Source organism: Homo sapiens, chromosome 2 (genome assembly GCF_000001405.40).
Source record: "Homo sapiens chromosome 2, GRCh38.p14 Primary Assembly".
Lineage (NCBI taxonomy): Eukaryota > Metazoa > Chordata > Mammalia > Primates > Hominidae > Homo > Homo sapiens.
In genome coordinates this window covers 100,105,615-100,124,806 of record NC_000002.12, presented here as the reverse complement: position 1 = coordinate 100,124,806, position 19,192 = coordinate 100,105,615, and the positions used below count along the sequence as shown (strand labels likewise).

Below are 19,192 nucleotides of genomic sequence, written 5' to 3'. Positions count from 1 at the left end.
GTTTATTATACATTCATCCACCTGATTTTCAGAGTTTCCAGCTGATGTTGTTTTCTTGCATTAGTTGCCCTTGATTAATTTTCCCCAAGTCATTTTTTTAAGTCCCTTTTCCTGAAGACCTGATACACCCCCCCATCTCCCCCCTTCTGCTCCACCTGTACTGGCTGCCCTCTATGTCAGCAATGCAATTGCCATGTTGTAAATTTCTTCTAACTGCTATCAGGGGTCTGGATTGGAACCACAATTTGCTGGAGCCCACAACTTCCTATCTCAGTCTTGTTTTTCTGGAATATGTCTATAATACCCTTTAAAAAAGGATGTATAAAAAATAAACTTTCTGAGATCTTTCTTTCTGAAAATACCATTATTCTGCCTTCACACTTGATTGATATCTGGCTGGGTATAAAAGCCTTTAGATGTTTGTTTTTATCCTTGGTACTCTGACACATCAAAGCTGTGCCTAGGCAAGCTTTCTTTTCACTAATTGTTCTGTGCACTCAGGAAACCCTTTTAAGTCTGAAGAATTTTGTCCTTCAGCTTTGGAAATTTTTTCTTCAAGTATTTCTTTGATAATTTTTTTCAACTCCAGCCTTGTATGTTAAATCTCCTAGACGCATCTTCAAGGATCTCTCTCATAGTTTTCGATTCCTTTGTCTTTCTCTCCCTACATTCTGAGAGAGGAAAGAGAGTTCTTGGGCTTATTTTCCAAATATTTTAAATTTTTAAAATGTAATTAGTCCCTGTTTTAAACCTGTGAACACTCTCTTTTATTCTTTGTTTCTTTTTCTTAGCATTGTGTTCTGCTTTTAAGAGTGTAATATTTTCTCCCAAATCCCCCTGGCATATTAATTAGAGCACTTTTAATGTTGTCTTCTGTTCCTCGGTTGTCATTTTTTTCAGGGGGGAAGGCATTCTTGTTTCTTCTTCTTTCATGCTGCCATTCTCTTTATGTGCCTGGTGGTTCCTTGGCTTTGCATTTCTATCTAAGGGAGTGGGATTAAGTGACTGTGTTTCACGTGCTTACTGTTAGCAGGTCTATGTTTTGGCTCTGACCTCTCTCCTTTAGAACTGTGAGTGGGATGGGGTGGGGCATGTCTGCTAGGATATTTTGCTTCAGGGTAGGATGATGATGAGCTATGCTCTCCTGGAGATTTCTAAGAGTCAAAATGAGGAGGCCTTTATTCTACACTATTCAACACTATCGATGCCGTTTTACAAATACAAAACGGAAGCACAGAGACTTATGATTACAGAGCTACAAGTAATGAAGCCAAAATTTGAACTGGAGTATGCCCAATAATCACATATATTCTCATTCTACAAACCCAACACATTTCAATGTAAAGTGAAAAATGGTGTTATATGAATCATTAGCTCTATTTTTTGTTAATATCGACTTTCATATGCCTTGACAGTCATGTCACCAGGAGCACACCAGGACTCTGCATCCTTCCACCTATGTAACAAGACATTGTTTGTTCCTCTTAAACAATTTACCAACCCTCTGCTATTAAAGAAAATGAAATAATTAAACTTCGCTTACAGTCAGAAGGCATCTAAGCAGAATTAGCAGTTTCAGAGGAACTACATGCTACAAAAATTGAGGGAATAATTTATCCCTGGGTTGGCCAAGCCAAATGGTAGACATTTTTGCATTATTTTAGTGGATGTTAGTAAAGCCATATTCCTCCTACTTCTAAGGTTTTCTTCTCATTCTGAAGGTCATGGCTACTTCACTTTTTTACATCCATTTTTGAACAACTGTTGACAACAGATACAGATTTCATTAGAAAATTACTCATAAAAATTCAAAAATAAGCATTTATTGATCATCTACCAAATTAAACATTCGTTTTTTAACTCAGTGTTTCCCACACTTTCCTGGGAGGTGGTAATAGATGTTCCATGAAAAATGCATTCCAAGGTCAAATTAGTTTGATCCACATTGGGTTAAATGAAGTTAAATAGTTTTCTTTGTTGCCGGTATTCTCAGAGTCTCTCATTGCCAGTATGCATTGTGAATCTCTAAAGATTTAAAATTTGAAAAATGTACATTTTGGGAAATGCTCATTTTAGAAAACTCACATTTTGAGAAACATTGACTTCATTTATCAAACAGCCATTTTGCTTTCCTCTCTTCTCTAGAGACATACTTGTTCTCAATTGCACGCACCTGGGCCATGACTCTCAGGCATGTCATTTTCCAATTCAGGGTCTCATATGTTCAGTTTTTACAACTTTGGGTTGGGCAACCTTATTATTATAGTCTTCACTCTCTGCCTCTCTGCTGCGACCATCTCTTAATTTGCCCTGCACATCCTTGAGTGATGCTTTATTTTAATGCTTTTGTTTCTGCATCTACAAAATGTTGACACAATAACACATAGGTTTTAGCAAGAAATTAAATAAAGTGACAGCCTAGCTATTACAGGAAGGTGATAATAAATAAATTTGAAATAAAGTTTCTGATTTTGGATGGTTCTCTCATGATCATCTCAATCTTTAGTAAATAATATCCCATTGTGCTAAATGACAAAATTAAAAGATGGGCTCTAGGAAAGTCAAAGAATGCACCAATAAAAAAGACTGTAGAATGATGTAAGTTGTGTCAATATGGAGAAGGGCAACTTTAGACAGTAACACTTGTCATGATGTACCAGTCTCTTAAACATTAATTTCCCCAACTTGTGGCAAAATAGCATATGCTTGTTATTTTTTATTTATTTATTTATTTTTTTGAGACGGAGTCTCGCTCTGTCACCCAGGCCGGACTGCGGACTGCAGTGGCGCAATCTCGGCTCACTGCAAGCTCCGCTTCCCGGGTTCACGCCATTCTCCTGCCTCAGCCTCCCGAGTAGCTGGGACTACAGGCGCCCGCCACCGCGCCCGGCTAATTTTTTGTATTTTTAGTAGAGACGGGGTTTCACCTTGTTAGCCAGGATGGTCTCGATCTCCTGACCTCATGATCCACCCGCCTCGGCCTCCCAAAGTGCTGGGATTACAGGCGTGAGCCACCGCGCCCGGCCATATGCTTGTTATTAATTTGACTGACACCTCCTCCTCCATCTGCCATCTTTTTTTATCAATGGTACCACTGCCCACCTAACTGCCTGGACAAGAACTTGAAGGTCTTCCTCACCCCAGGTGCCTTTGCATATGCTTTGATTTGAACCCATCCCCTCTCCACTTGCCAAGCTCATCCTTTAAGATTCAGCTGAAAAGCTTGGCCAGCTCAGACACTGTCAAAATCAATTTATTTACCTAGCAAGCATTCATTGAGCACTTCGTGTGCCAGGTATTACTGCCTGGCAGTGTACAGAGCTAGTTTATTGAGAATTTCACTTCCATATCTTCACTGTGAGAAGCCACTGCTTTAGCCTATATAACCACTGCTCCTTCATTGCCACCATCTTTGTGAAGCAGGATATTCCCATCCCTGGCCGGACTCCTCTCCAAAGCTACACTATCAAGCTGTCCCTCTGAAGTCAAACCACTTCTCTCCGATGTTCAACTATATTCTCCGAAGCCCAGCTGCTTCTCCTCTCTCTGCTGGTTGAGCCTGAGGTTTCTATGGGCACTGGATGGTGGGCAGGGTGGACCATGGGTGGTTTTGGAAAAGGCAACATTCAAGCAGGAAAACAGGGCTGTCAGTTCTCACTTTGGGCTGTGGTATCAGGCTTTTCAGCTTGAGAGTGGGGCCCTCACCAGGGACCTGCCCTCCCAGAATTTCTCTGCCTCCTGTCCCTATCATTTGTAATAAATATTTCGGACCTTTTCACCTTCACACCTAAACCTTGACATTCACAGTCCCTGAATCTATTTCTATCCTTACTTAGACTTTGGTGAGACTAGGATAAAAGGCAAAGGTGGCCAGGCATGGTGACTCATGCCTATAATCCCAGCTACTCATGGAGACTGAGGCAGGAGGATCGCTTGAGGCCAGAAGTTTGAGACCAGCCTGAGCAACATAGGGAGACTCCCATCTCTAACAAAATTTAAAGGAAATATTAGCCAGTTATGGTGGCATGGAGGCATGGAGGATCGCTTGAGCCCAAGAGTTCAAGGCTACAGTGAGCTATGATCACATCACTGCACTCCAGCCTGGGTGATGGAGCTAGGCCCAATCTCTTAAAAAAAAATGGCTAAGGTGGAGTGAAGGGACTCTTCAATCTCATAATAATTTTCTGAAGCTACATTTTAATTGCCTCAAAAAGTTAAGGGGAGAATTTCTTCCCTTCCTCAGATATGTAATAACCAAAACTGTTTGGGTAAATGTGGATCTCAGCCTTTTGGCTACAGGCTTTTGGTTGGATAAGTATTCACAAGGCAGAGGGTGGGGGTTGGGGGTGCAGAAGCAAAATAAAAAAGAAAACCTTTCCTAAGAAGGCAAGGCAACCAGACCACTAAGTAACTTACCAATTTTTTTTCTTATTTTAATTTGCCTCCATAAAAGATACTCAAATGCAATGATTTCTGTGGGAAGCCTCAGACTGAGCTGTTAGAATCCTTAATGGGGGTAAATTCTGTGACCACGGTTTCATGCTGAATGTGTCCAGTCAGAGATCCTGTGGAAATACATATTCTAGCTGGGCCTAGAAGGCTGATTTTTCACAGGCATACACTGGCAGGTGTGTCGCCTTCCATTTTGTCAATCGTAAGCCTCTCTAAGAAGCTACTTCTCAAGACCTGATAATACTTCTCGTATGGACTATGTATTAAACATCATCACTAATGTGACTAGATGATATCCCTTTGCTGCCAGTCTTTTCTCCCCCTATTGTGATGAGTTGGTTTTGATGTTGCTAACCTGTTTGCTTTAATTTGGTCCTCAGGCTCTATCCCCATCAGGATAGTCTTTAGAAGCGTAATCTACTCCATTCTAACAGAGCGATTCTGTTAATAACTACAGACTTATTCACTGTTAGACATTCCTTCAAAAACTTCACAATGGCTTCCTCCATAATGCACTGAAGGTCTGTGTTTCTCAGGCAAGTATTCTATGTGGGGGAGCACACAGACTCCGGGAATGGCTGACATGCAACACTGTTGCTGGCTTGAGGCCTCAGATTAAATAGTTTGTCCCCTGTAAACCACACTTTCTTCCCTGTAAAATGGGGATAATGACAGTGCCTACCTCATTTGGTTGTTATGTGAATCAAATGAGAGAATGTGTGCACATTGCCTGCCACTTTATTAACACTCAATACTTGTTAGCAACTATTAAGCCATAATTAACTATTGTTGAACTCTTTCATTGTTTTGCAAAGTCGGCCAAGAATAACATACCATTGTTTGCTGCTTGTATTGACTTTTCACAGGGCTTTGACTCTGGGGTCAAGACCAGGTTAGGAATTAAGCAGCATGAGGCCAATGAAGACTCCTAGTTACTGATGTTTAAATGAGCATGCTTTCAAATGCCCAACAGTGGGAATTAGCAGGAATGGTCTCCTGAAGAGTGGATAATCTCTAGACATGTAAAACAGGGACAAGTGGCTTAAAGTAGGGCTGTAACAACAAAGCCCCTGAGGGTAATCACAGGGACTTTACCAGTGCACTTTTGGCCTTACCTGTGGGTAAAAAGGGAGCTAGTAAAGGCATTAAGACAACTGGAGCAATTGTAGAAACTGAGACACATAAGCAGGGGTCTCACACATCTCTGCATGAAGGTATGCATTAAGACTATGTGTATACAAATCCAGAATTAGGGCTAGGTGTGGTGGCTCACGTCTGTAATCCCAGCACTTCGGGGGGCCGAGGTGTGCGGATCACCTGAGGTCAGGGGGTTCATGACCAGCATGGCCAACATGGTGAAACCCCGTCTCTGCTAAAAATACAAAAATTAGCTGGGTGTGGTGGCGCACGCCTGTAATCCCAGCTACTCGGGAGGTAGGAGATTGGCTTGAACCTAGGAGGCAGAGGCTGCAGTGAGCTGGGATCACTGCACCCTAGCCTGGGCGACAGAGCGAGACTCTGTCTCAAAAAAAAAAAAAAAGTCAGAATTTTCCTTAGTTGGAATTTGTTATTGATCCAAGAATGCAAGGAAGTATTCCAAAGGGCTGAGTTCTACAGCATAAACAGTGCTAAGATTTGGGCATAGGAAAGTTATGAAGCAGGTATTCCCAGGGGCCAAAAATGATGACCTAAGAGTTCCTTCCTGAAATACAACGACCAGAAAAAAAAAATCCCATCATTATAACCATTTTCAATCTAAAATACTTATCCTTGGTAAATGTTACATTTAAATGGCTCATATCAAATAAGAATAGATGCTATTTGATGAGTGCTTACACTAGATGCTGACACTGTAATATAACTTTGCAATGTTATTTCATTGATTTATCAACAATGGAGCTATAACCATCAGCTCCCTTTACCAGTCAGGGAAGTGGTAATTAGAAAGTTTAAGTAAGCTGCCTAAAATTGCACTGCTTCTAGGAGCATAACAAGGATTAGAACCAGATTTGCTCACTCTAAATCTTGTGCTCTTAGCCCATTCACAGGATAGTTTGCAGGCATCCTGTGAAAGTCAGTGGAAGAGCAAGTTACTCAAATCCAAATAAAACTTTATTTGGATAAATGTGCATATAAATGCAATATATGCATTTATTTAGTTCATCTAAAAGAAGTTTTCAAATAATTAGGATATAAGGGCATTAAGGATCTAACAACTGAGTAAAGAATTACAGCACCCTGCTCCAGAAAAGATAGAAATCAAAGGAAGTAAATGTGGTGTTTAGGATCACTTTTCCCCTGGTGGCCTTCCCTGGTTTTGGAGGTGGTGGAAGAGAGGCAAACTATGCTCTTGACAGTCTTCTGGAGCTCAGGTGAGGCAATGAAGTGAGGGTCCAATGGGGAAAACTCGAGTACAGTGAATCTCTATCATTTGGGTTGGAATACTGAAAGCATACACTAGAAGAAATGAGGTCTTGAAAGTATACATGTCCCTAAAGGGATTGCAGTATACTTTAAAATCCCCTGAACTTGTGAAATTATGTAAAGATAATCTTGAATTGCTAATGCCCCCAAGTACTTGGCAGAATTGGACATGCTCTCTGGAGAAAAATAATATCACCCTAGGTCTCAAATGTTTTTGCATATTACTGTTTTTCAAATACAATGTTGATCACATAATTCGAAATAACTAGCTACAAGGAGATTAATGAAATGTTGTCAGCAGAAACAACAGATAGGAGAAATAGACACCTATGCGCTCCACGTAAAAGAGTCAGTAGACCCAAACTTTAAGATAACTATGCTTACAATCTCCAAAAGGCAAAAAGATAAGGTTGAGAATTTGGCAGAGGCCTAGAAACAATAAAAAATAACCAAGTGGAAATTCTAGAATCAAAAAATCGTGATACCCCAAATTAAGAACTCAGTGGATGGGTTTAACAAGAGATGACATAAAGCTGAAGAAGAAACTAGTTGACTGGAAGACACATTAGAATAAAATATTCAGAAAGAAGCTTTCAAAAGACAAAAATGTAAAATTTCACAAGAGAAAGTAAAAGATAGAAAGACAGCTAAAAATTCTAGCATGCATAAAATTGAAGTCTCAGAAGAAGAGGAAAGAGAATCAATGGGCCAAAATAAATAATTAAAGAGATAATGGCTAAGAACTTCCCAAACTGATGAAGCTATCAAACTTAGATAAGAAGCCCTATGAATTCCAAATAAGATGAATAAAATGAAATCCACACCTAGGTACATTATGGTAAAACTGCTGATAATCAAGGACAAAAAGAAAATCTTAAAAGCAGACAGAGGAAAAAGGGGTTTTATTTTCATCGGAACAACAGTAAAGTTGACAGCACTCAAAGTACTTAAGGAAAAGAACTGTTAATCTGTCATTTTAAACCTGGCAAAAATACTCTTCAATTATAAATGTAAAATTGATATTTCCAGACTGAAAGAAACAAAGAAAAATTGATGTTCCCTTACTAAAAGAAACAGAGAATTGTTCACCAGTGGAAACACAGGAAATACTGGTATTCTTTAAGGAGAAGAAAAATTATCCTAAATGGAAGACCAGAGGTGCAGGAATGAATGAAGGGCAAGCAAAATGCTAATGAAAATTAACTATATAAAATAATAATGTCTTTGGGGGTTTAATATATAGAAAATTAAGTACATGACAACAATGATACACAAATATAGAGAAGAGTAAATGGATTTAAAAAGTTCTAAGGTCCTTGAATTTTCCTGGAAGAAAATAAAAATAACAATTAATATTGGACTTTGATAAGTCAAGAATTCATGATTTACTTTCAAGTTCAACAGTAAAGAATAGTAAACAAAGCCATGTATGTTCCAAGGTAATAGAGAAGGAACATAGGACAATAAAAGTATACTCAAATAATCCAAATGAGGACAGCACAAAAATAGACAAAGGAACAGAACGATCAGAACAAATAGCTCCTTGCGAATGGTAGACTTACAGCCCAATATAAATGTAATTACATTAACTGTAAATAGATTAATTTCTTTAATTAAAAGGCAAAGTTTGTCAGGCTGAGTTAAAAAAAAAAGCAAACATAGAGCTATATGTTGTTTACAAATGACACATATAAAACATAAGGATATAGAAAGGCAAAAAGGAGAAGTATGGAAAGATACTTTTCCTACAAACATAAACCCAAGGAAAGCTGATGCAGTTATATCTGTATGAGATATGTAGATTTTTAAGGCAAAAATCATCATTAGAGATTAGGAGAGACCACTCATCATTGTTAACAGGGCCAGTTCAACAGGATGGTGTAACTATTCTAAATCTTAGGCACATAATAGCATGATTTCAAATATGTAAAGAATAACTTGAAAAAAATTATAAGAAGAAATTTTAAAAACCTTCAATTATAGAGGAAAATGTTGACAAACATCTCATAGGAACAACAATAAAATTGACAGCACTCAAAGTACTTAAGGAAAAGAACTGTTTATCTGTCATTTTAAACCTGGCAAAAATACCCTTCAATTATAAACATAAAATTGATATTTCCAGACTGAAAGAAACAAAAGAAAAGTTGATATTCCCATACTAAAAGACACAGAGAATTCTTCACCAGTGGAAACATAGGAAATACTGGTATTCTGACAAACCTCTTAGATAAGATAGACATAATACATCAGACATCATATCAGTAAGAATAGAAAGATCTGAAAAAAATGAGCTGAAAATATAACGGATGAACAAATAAGGAATACCATACCAACAATAGCAGGATACACTTATTTTTATTTTTATTTTTTGAGACAGCGTCTCCCTCTGTCACCCAGGCTGGATGGAGTACAGTGTATGATCTCAACCCACTGGAGCCTCCACCTCCTGGGTTCAAGAGATTCTCCTGCCTCAGCCTCCCAAGTACCTAGTAGCTGAAATTACAGGTGCCTATCACCATGCCCAGCTATTTTTTCTATTTTTAGTAGAAACGAGGTTTCACCATGTTGGCCAAACTGGTCTGGAACTCCTGCCTCAAAGTGATCTGCCTGCCTCAGCCTCCTAAAATGCTGGGATTACAGGTGTGAGCCACCACTCCTGGCTGGTATACACATATTTTTAAGCATGCATGGAAACTTACAAAATTAGCTATAGGTGGGATCACAGAGCAAATCTCAACAAGTCTTAAAGTATCCAAATGATAGATAAAGAGTCTGCTCTGTGATTACAATGCAATTGAGCTATGAGCCAATTTTAGGAAGATCACCAGGAAATCCCACATGTTAATTTTGTACAACCATTTCCTCCTCCTCTCAGTTTCCCTAAGATTCATCTTGATCATCACCTTGCATAACAAACAAAAGTCTTTTTGAGGACTCTCTCATAGAAAGGGGAGAAAAAAATTGAAATACATACCTATAATTTGACATTTCCACCCCAATCACGTACTTACTGCTGTGCATGGCTTGAATTGTCTTCCTGTGTGTATATTATCAATACAATCAGGAACTAAAAGAAGCTTTTCATTTTGGAATGAACTCAACACGGGGGCTTGCATGATGTTATGAGTTCAGTGCTGAGCTCTCAATGTGTTGCTCATCTAGTCCTTGTGACTCCAGGCTCCAGGGAGCCAGCACCCACCCTTTCTGTTAGTGAAAGGATGCCTGATGGTGCAAAAATGCAGGGCTGGCCAGGCGTGGTGGCTCACGCCTGTAATCCCAACACTTTGGGAGGCCAAGGTGGGTGGATCACTTGAGGTCAGGAGTTCGAGACCAGCCTGGCCAACATGGTGAAACCCTGTTTCTACTAAAAATATCAAAATTAGCCAGGCGTGGTGGCAGGCCCCTGTAATCCCAGCTACTCGGGAGGCTGAGGTAGGAGACTCCCTTGAACTCGGGAGGCAGAGGTTGCAGTGAGCTGAGATCACACCACTGCACTCTAGCCTGGGTGGCAGAACGAGACTCTGTCTCAGAAAAACACAGTGCAGGGCTGGCTTCATGAGCCTGTGACCTGTGCAGTCACACAGGGCCGTACCCTTAGAAGGGTGCTATCTTTGTCTAAAGCTCTGCTGTCAACATTTTGAATTCTTAATAATTGATGAACAAGGCACTTCACATTTTCACTGTGCTCTGGGCCAGCTCTGTGCAGAGGGAAGGGGTTTCCAGACTTGCTGGATTTTACAACTAAGAAAAGAAAAACCCCTGGGCTGAATCCTCTGTGAAATACTTTCTCTGGCTTCTCAGAAGACATTTCCTCTTTTCAACTCTCAGTTGTTCCCCTGGGTTTGGCAGCTGGGTGTTCACTAGCTGCTTTACTGAATCTCTGATCTTGGTTTCCTGCTTACTTGAAAATGTTTTTACAACATCAATACAGGCCTCTTCACCATCTGGCCCCAATCTCTTGCCCTGGCCTTGGCTCCTTTTCCATCTCCCTTCATTCTGCTTCTTCCCCTAACCCCCATTTGACCTACTGACTTCTACAACCCCCCCACCTCAAGGCAACACTTTGACCACATAGAACCTTCTCTGCTAGGGGAACATGGCATGCTTCTTCTGGCCTCTGTGCTCTATTCTGTGGTTTTCCCTCTGCCTGGAATGCTCTTCCATCACTGCCTCCTCACTCTCACTTTGACTTTCATTCCGTTAGACCCAACCCAATGTTAGGGGCTGTATTAAGCCCTTTAGGAGTGCCTTGGTCATCATCCACTTTCTTTTGCTCCTGTAGCTCCACAGACATGCTTCTGTCATAGCAGGTAATACGTTATAGTACACGGCGTTTGTTCTATTCCATTCCCCCCTATTCACTTAGTCTTGATAATTCAGTTCTTGACTTGGAATGCAAATCAGTCGTTCTTTCTGGAAAGATCTCCCTGAGTACCTGCACTTCTCTCATCATAGCACTAAGCATATTAAAACAACATTGTATATGGCCTGTTTCATGAGACCATGTCTGTTTCACTTTGGTAATAAACTCAGTACCTAGCATAGTTCTAAGCACCTAACTGAATCAAGAAGTATTTGTTCAATTCAAGGATGAGTAAGTGCATTAAGATGTGTGTGCATTATCTTCTAGACAGTGGGCTTTTTGGCCTTTCAAACTTCTCTTTCTCATCTTCTTTCTTAGCTCACTGCTTGGCATGTAATAGGTGTTCAATAATGTTTGTTCAGTAAATCAATATCTGAAATGACTTATGTGATCATTGAGATTATCCTCTTGAGGCCTGACCCCAGGACCCTGGTTTGGGAATGTATCCCCAATGACTTCAGCCCTGACTTGAGGTTGCATTCTTCAAGGGAAGATGACAGAGATGACAGCATGGGGATTTGGGCTGACACTCAGTCAAGTCCAAGAGGATGAATTTCCCTTTATGTTGTAATAAACCTCATATTGTTGTCTAGAGAGTGACAGAAAGCAATGCTAAATTCATAAAATTGTAACTGTCTGTGCCAAGTATATGGAATTATAATAAGCATCACAGGTGAGTAGGAGCTTTGGAAAAACACTGGGAGCCATCCCTGGAAAGAGTTGCTCTCATTATAGATAGTGGTGGAGCAGGGCAGGCCCTCGGGCCTGTAGCTCTAATCAGAGCCCCTTCCTTCACTCACTTTCCTCCTCTCACGACCTTGGGCTCCTGCTTTCTACCTCCCATTGTGCAGCTTCTTTCTTTTTTTCTTCCATTGGAGACAGGGTCTCACTCTTTCACCTAGGATGGAGTGCAGCAGTGTGATCACAGCTCACTGCAGCCTTGACTTTGGAGCTCAAGTGATCCTCCCACCTCAGCCTCTTGAGTAGCTGGGACTACAAGTGTGTGCCACCATGGCCAGCTAATTTTTTATTTTTTGTAGGGACAGGGTCTCACCATGTCGCCCAGGCTTGTCTTGAACTCCTGGCTTAAGTGATCCTCCAGCCTCAGCCTCTCAAAGTACTGGGATTACAGGCATGAGCCACCATGCCTGGCCCAGCCTCTTCCCTGAGAACTAGCAGGTAGGTATCTTTCTTTTCCAGGGGTTTCCTGCCTCCTATCTTGTTGTGGGCATTTTCCTTCTTGTGGCCAGCTCTAGCTTCTTTATGAAGCTCCCTTCTTCCAAGAAACCAACTACAAATTAGAAGAAGGTGGGGTTTCTCTCATCTCCATGGCCATGTGCTCCTCTTAAGAGACTGACTCGCCCTCTCTGTATGGTATTCCACTGAGCAAAGACTTCTTTCTTTGCTCTTTCACTTACCAAAGTGCTGAGGAAATACTTGAGCCCGTAAGTCTCAATATATGGAGGACCAATAGAAGGAGTTCAGCAAAGCTGAGCTCTAATTGCATGCTTACTGTGAGCCTGTGACATGTTAAGAAGGTACAGGGAAATCAATTTGGGATCCATAAATATAAGGAAGAATGTTGTTCCAGCTAGAGCTGAGCCCTTGAAAAGTAAAACAGGGAGGCTCTTCAGAGAGCGCACTCCCCACCACTGGAAACATTCATGTGGAGACTGCCCATAGCAGGGTTGATATGGAGGGAACTGCTGCAATGGGTAGCAGGTTAGCTAGAGAGAGACTTGATGGCTTCTCCCAACTTTCAAGCTTCTGCGATCTTATTATAGGGTTCTAACCCTGTAATGCAGTTTATATTTCAACATACTGTACTTAATTAGTTGTTTTCGTAAACTTCTTCTGAAGTAAATCAGCTTCATACAGTGATAATTAGTTTATTGGTAGAAACAATGACAAACTCTGAAACATACATATTTTTGTGTATGTGGCAAGGACACAAGAAAGGCTGACTATTATTATTCCTACACTGTTTTTCGTAAATGCCATCTGTTGGTATCCCTGTGAGGATGTCACAGCAACTTAACCAGGTTAACAAATAACATGAAAATAAAGAAACAAATAATATGGAATATTCAAAAAATGCTGGAGCCAGATTAATCAGTCTTCAGACAATTGAGCATGAGTTTCTTATTAATTAACTTGCTTACAATTGGAGTGAACTCAGAAGTAGTCAAGATTACATGTAAGGAAGTAATCACAGGTTTTTGTAAATCACACTTAATTCTTTGGCAGTGCTGCCCCCATTGGGGCATATAGGCTGGGATATCTGGTAGTCCTGACTATACACGGCAATGTGCGGGGCACATTTAAGGGACTGTGACTTCTCTAATGGGTTAGCTGCAATATTCAAAACACCGCTAGAGTGGCTTAGCCACATAGGGTCTTATTTTGTTCCTAAAAGTCCAGATCTGGGTAGGATGGTCCAAAGATGGTAGGGTTATATGAAGCAGTCATCAAGGACCTAGCCTCCTTTTAACTTCAGACTTGCCAACTTTAGTCTGTGGCTTTTGCTCCTAAAATTGATGATGGCTTCTCCACCTTTCTGGACAGGAAGAAGAAAGTGACCTAGAGGAAGGGGTGGTGTCTACTGCAGGGAAGCAAAACATTCTGAGAAATCCTGACTGACATAAACGGGTGTCTTATTGGCCAGAACTAAGTCATATGCCCAGTTCTTGCAATAAGAGAGACTAGAAAATACAGTTATGTCAGCTGGGCTTGTGACTTCCCCAAACCAGACTCAGGTTTTGCTATCAAGGACAAGTGCAGATGGATGTTGGGTGGGCAGCCAGCCGTGTCTGCTGCATGAACTTGTTTATCTTAAGCTCCTGAAGAGGTGAACTCTGCTCTCTGCTTCTTCTTGTTTGGGACTTGGGGACCCCCAGCAGGACTCTGAGCAGTGGGAGATGCCTGTACCTGAAGGACCTTGTGGGGATCTTCTGCTGCCCTTTCTCCACCAATGTTTTACCCATTAAGATGCAATTTTGGAATGTCACCATTTTCAGGCTGTAAGCCATAATTGCTGCATTTGCAGCTTCGGTTTCCTCCGAGGGCTGCATGGGGACTACCAATCCATGCTTGAATACTCTCTGGTGCCCCAGAGAAAAGAGCCTGACACCCACAGTTGTGTTGTGACTTCTTCCCCATGCTTCCCCCAGACCTAAGCTAAGTGTCCTCTTCCTGAACACATTCCTCTTGCCGTCTGCTAATACTTCACAGATAGCACAGCACTCCTGTTTGAAGCAGACCAACACCTTGAGATTTGTTTAAGCCAAGAAGGAGGTCCTACCTTTAAACAAGAAAAGGTTTATGACTCTCTTGACATACTCCAGGGATTCCTGTCTGGCAGTGCTCAGGAAGAACAACTGAAAAAAACAGACCTCTAACATTTCAGAACTGTCAGAGACAAAAACTGACAGAGACAAAGAACACCCAATCCAGCCTTCTCATGTTGCAAAGGAAGACGTTGAGGCTAGAGACAAGGAGCGCCTCACTCCAGGTGCGGTTATGGCAGAACTCAAGGGGCAAAACTGGGTGGCAGGAGAATTGCAGAGAGGGGTAGAGGGCTCTCTCTCGCCTTCCGACTGGGACTGTATTACTTTCATTATTTCAGTGCCTGTGAGCATGAGAATGCGCCAATGCTATAGATAATTAAGGCAAAAGTTGTGGGAGGTGGAGTATGGTATCACAGCTACCAGTAATACCATACCAATTCCTGATCTGCCATGCTTGGGTTTGTGACACTTACCTGTTCCTTAGCATACTCACCTGCAAAATAAAAACAATGGCAACATACCTCATGTGCTTTTGGGAGGACTAAATGGAGTTGATACTTTAGAACAGCACCCAGTTGACAGTAATATAGACATGTTTGCTAATGATACGATTAGTTATGTCCTATTCTCAACAGATTCAGAGTCCTTGAAACTTGCATGAATGGCCAGGGCACATCTTGAAGAAGCATGACAAAGAACCTGTGGGGATATTAAGATTTAAGTCAGGATGATTGGTTCTTGTTACCAGCATCAAAGGATCTTCTCATATCACAAAATAATGAGATTATCCCCCAACATTGGTCAGCATGGCATAAAATACATGATCTGTGATAGGAGATGCTTTTCTGATCCGCTTTTATGAAAAGTAAATGTCCTTCCTGCCTGCATTTTCAACTTTAGTATGTGTGCCTGCCTTTTTCTTTTTAAAATGTGGTAAGCTTCACCCACCAGCCTTTAGTACCGGCTGTATAAGGAGCAACTAACACCAAGACATACATGCTTATGCCCCATCCACTTTATTTTAAAGCACTCTTCAATTTGTCAATACTTTAATTCTCTAAGCAGTGTTATAGTGGCTGACCACTTTTGAAATTATCTTTGTTTTGTTTGGTACTTGAAGGGCATGAAAAACTTCCCTCCACTTCCTTCCCCTCTCCCGGAGCTCATTTTCCCCTCTCTTTTCTCTGCCCTGCTTGCCCTCTGACCCTGCCGAGCTCTGCTGTTTCCACAGACTTCTGAATCTAATTAATGTCATAGTGACTATATAAGTGAATTATGTAGGCAGGAGGATGCGGGAAACTTTGGGGAAGGTGCATTCCTTAGGGAAAAACCTGGTTTTGTTAAAAAAAAAAAAAAAAAAAAAAAAAAAGGAAAGAAATGCACATTCCCAGAAACACTCATTCCCAGGGTGTAGAATGTCAGTGAAGCATAAAACCTCAGCAACTACTTACATTCAATAAATATCTGTTGTCTGATGAGCAGACTGAACCCTAGGAGCAGCTCTTTTGACATCTGGGCAATAATCAGCTATTATGGAAGCTGGCTGCAGGGACAGATAGTCCAAATATGTTGCCTTCTAAAACAGTTCTCAGCCCTCGACCGGGGTATTGGCCCCCTTTCTACCCTCCCTCCTTTTCCCAGCCAGTTCAAAACCATTTGCAGGGAGTATGTCCTTAGATGATCTCTGAAATGACCCTGGCTTCTAGGGCCCCAGAAAGGTCTCCAACTCCCTAGGACAGTGGACAGGCTGGGGGGAGGGGCACAAGTACTGAAGTTCTTCGCCAGAGGATACTGTCAGAGAGCCCAAGGCGGAGATGGTCCCTATGCCCCATGTTTCCATGGAAACATAGGAGGAGTGATGACAGTCAGCACAGCCACACCATCTGCTCGGGACCTGGTGAATGATGAAAAAATACAGAAAGAAAGGCACCTCGAATCCTAGGTTAGAACCACTCAGAGATACCTGTGGAGAGAGAGGGAAAGGCCTGAAGACACAAGAACTCCTGGGTGGATCTAAAATCTACGCTGTCCTGGGGTTCAACATATTAGCATGTAATTTGCAAGGAGAAAGCCTAGAAGGTTTATCCTGCAATCCCTGGATACAGTTACAAACACCCAAGAAGCCTCTGGAAGGAGAAGCAGATGGAGTCATGCGTCTGCAGCTTTGCTGGAACAGGAGAGAGTAGTGTCCTTAGGGACAAAGCTGGAGGAGATGCTGTAGGGGCTGAGGCAGCTTGATGATGCTCCTATCACCTTCCAGCAGTACCACCTGCAGAGCCAGCTTTTGGCCAGACATATTTTTCTAGGGGAATGGTGGGATTATAAAGAGAGAAAAAAAATCCCACTTGGTTACAAAAATGACCTCTGAGTTGCAGCTGCGTCTTCAGGATAAGGCATGAATTAAAGCCATGCAAGGCTTCTCTTCTATCAAATCATATCTGAAGGGAGATCTTAGATGCTATAGGTTTGCTTCTGGATTTATTTAGGAGGCTTCCAGCACTAGGTTGGCAGAATGTGAGTAGGGCCCCAGACTGAGCAGGATTCATTTGTTAGTCCCTTTCTTTGGTACATTTAGTCTACACCAACCAACCAACCTGACCCGGGAAGCCAAGCAGCTCCTCTCATTTAGCAGCTTCCCCCAGCAGCCCTCCCCTTAGCTGGGTGGTTTGATTCAGCTCCCAGGGGTGTTGCTTGCATCCATGTGGGGAGAAAAGACCCTCAGGTCACAAGCACTATAGGATGAGCAAAAGCTAAGGCAGCTTCATAGAAAACATCACTCTAACATTTTTATTTTTAGAGAGTCTCTTTCTCTTTTACATAAAAAAGTTCCCTTTTAGTTCTGACATTCTAATCCCCAAAAGTCCAAACCCTTTTTTTGCTTTGTATTAAGGAGTTAAAATTTTGACAACTAGATTAAGTGCTTGTTTTGGTTTGCATACCCAGAGGCTGGAGGATAATAGGAACATCTTCATAAACCAGATAAATAATAAAGATCTCCCATAAAGGCTCTCACTAACTGTTCTACATTTTACTTGTAAAAACTATTTTGGATTTATCTCCATGACAGCTTAGTAAAAAACAGGATCTGCAACTACTATTTGGGTTTCCTCAAAAGTCCTCATTCTCCAAGACACTATTACATGAAAACATAACACTGGAAATAATCAATCCAACTATCCCCATGTTAGAGGCCCCAAACAGAAAATCATGGCTATTCCTAAAGAAACATTTTTAAATACCCGCCTTGCAATTGCTTTAGGTGCACACACTCTCATATATTAACACAAGGCACCAGAGTTTAAATTCAAACGTAAATCTGCCCGTTACTACATGGCTTTTTGGGAGAGGCCTTTCATGAGTAAACCCCTCAACCAGCTCTATACCATCCCAGGGCCTTCCCTCTTTCCTTTTCTGGGATCATCTATTTATCTTCAGCCTCCATGGTGAGGGCAAATCTGTATCTGAGCTCCAGGCCCAGCATGGGACTCGCAGTAAACACGGTTATGTTTGTCCTTCAGCGGCCCTCCTTTGTATAAACAGATGTGGTGGGAAGGGAAGGAAAGCCAGATCCCGGTGAGGGCCGGGAGGTCTCCTTTCTGAAGAAGCTTCCCAGCTGCAGCCAGGAGCACGGGAACAGGACACATTTCTTGTTCAGGCCTCAGAACTTGCAGTTCTTCCAGACAGGGGCTGTTCCTGCTCCCTCCTCCACCCTCCACCCCCAGCCTTTGTTCCTGGGAATGCTGTCTCAATGTCTCGATCTCACTTTCGCCAAAGCAAACATTTCCAACAAGGCGTATGCTAAGGGGATATTAGAAAGACAGATTTTCTTTTTCTTTTTTTTCTTTTTCCAAATACACTGTGCATTGGGATTTGGGCAGCCAGCCCTTCACACCTGTACTTTTTCCTATATTCATATTCTCTATGTTTTTACCTAATCTTCTTGCTACTTGCTACCTTCAGCTAATGAGAGGGGTTTTTGAGGGCTGAGAGTTATCAGCTTGTAAAATAACAATTTCATTTTCTCAGACTATGTTGATGCCAACTCTGTCTTAATTTAGCGTTTTACATTTTGCACATTAGTTATGGATGCTAATGAAGAAAGGATTGATTCAGAGCTGGGGGAAGAAGGGAGCCAGGCTGAGCATTCTCAAATCCGATCTCAAATAGGAAAGAAGTCTCATTGGCCTTTTGGTCTTCTACCTGTGTCCTGAATTGAGTTTGTTAATCCTCATTCGGAGGTGGGTGAGGTGAGAGGATGACTCTTCGGCTTGACGCTGGAGGGATCCCGTCACTTGCACCCAGGGTTTACATTTCTGGCAGCCCCAGTCAGCGGTTCTTGCCCAGAAAAAGGAACAAAGGGGAGAGTGCTGGAAGGGACTCCCTTTTGGCGGGGAGTGCGAGGTTTGGTTCGCGTGGTGAGGCACAACTGCAGGGCTCTGAGCTGCTCTCTAGGAATTCTGGGGAATCCCTGGTGAGAATCCGGAGCTGTGGCCAAGAGGTCAGGAGAGTCAGGGGGCCTTGGAGGGGCTTCCGGTTCTAGGCCAACTGTGGAGAAGCAGAGGTAGGGCCCTGATGGAGACATGCGCTTCTCAGCATGTCTAAAAAAGTAAGCCAGGGGGAAGAGCTGTCTTTACAATGAGGGAGATTATTATTACTCTTTAGG

At 41.9% G+C, this 19,192-nt stretch overlaps 1 protein-coding gene across 13 annotated transcripts in view, besides 1 other annotated feature; it reads left to right on the top strand.

Moving 5' to 3' along the window:
* The window catches only part of AFF3 (ALF transcription elongation factor 3), a 597,172-nt gene that overhangs the window by 17,784 nt on the left and 560,196 nt on the right, over positions 1-19,192 (top strand). For 3 of the 13 annotated variants that reach the window (XM_047444278.1, XM_047444277.1, XM_011511171.4), the window contains exon 1: positions 14,794-19,027. The exons of 6 other annotated variants lie outside the window; for them this stretch is intronic. In XM_047444278.1, coding sequence (XP_047300234.1) covers positions 18,785-19,027 — 243 coding nt within the window. In that variant the 5' untranslated portion in view covers positions 14,794-18,784. Of the gene's footprint in view, positions 1-12,282; positions 12,422-14,473; positions 14,754-14,792; positions 19,136-19,192 lie in introns of those variants that run through there. 4 more of the 13 variants (XM_011511169.4, XM_024452883.2, XM_047444279.1 and 1 more) reach the window with 3 other exon arrangements.
* Positions 4,820-5,763: an enhancer, noted in NCBI's record as "OCT4-NANOG hESC enhancer chr2:100735506-100736449 (GRCh37/hg19 assembly coordinates)". NCBI's record gives its function as "activates a minimal SCP1, AML or CMV promoter by ChIP-STARR-seq in primed H9 embryonic stem cells {active_cell/tissue: H9 hESC(primed)}" and the evidence as "EXISTENCE:reporter gene assay evidence [ECO:0000049][PMID:30033119]".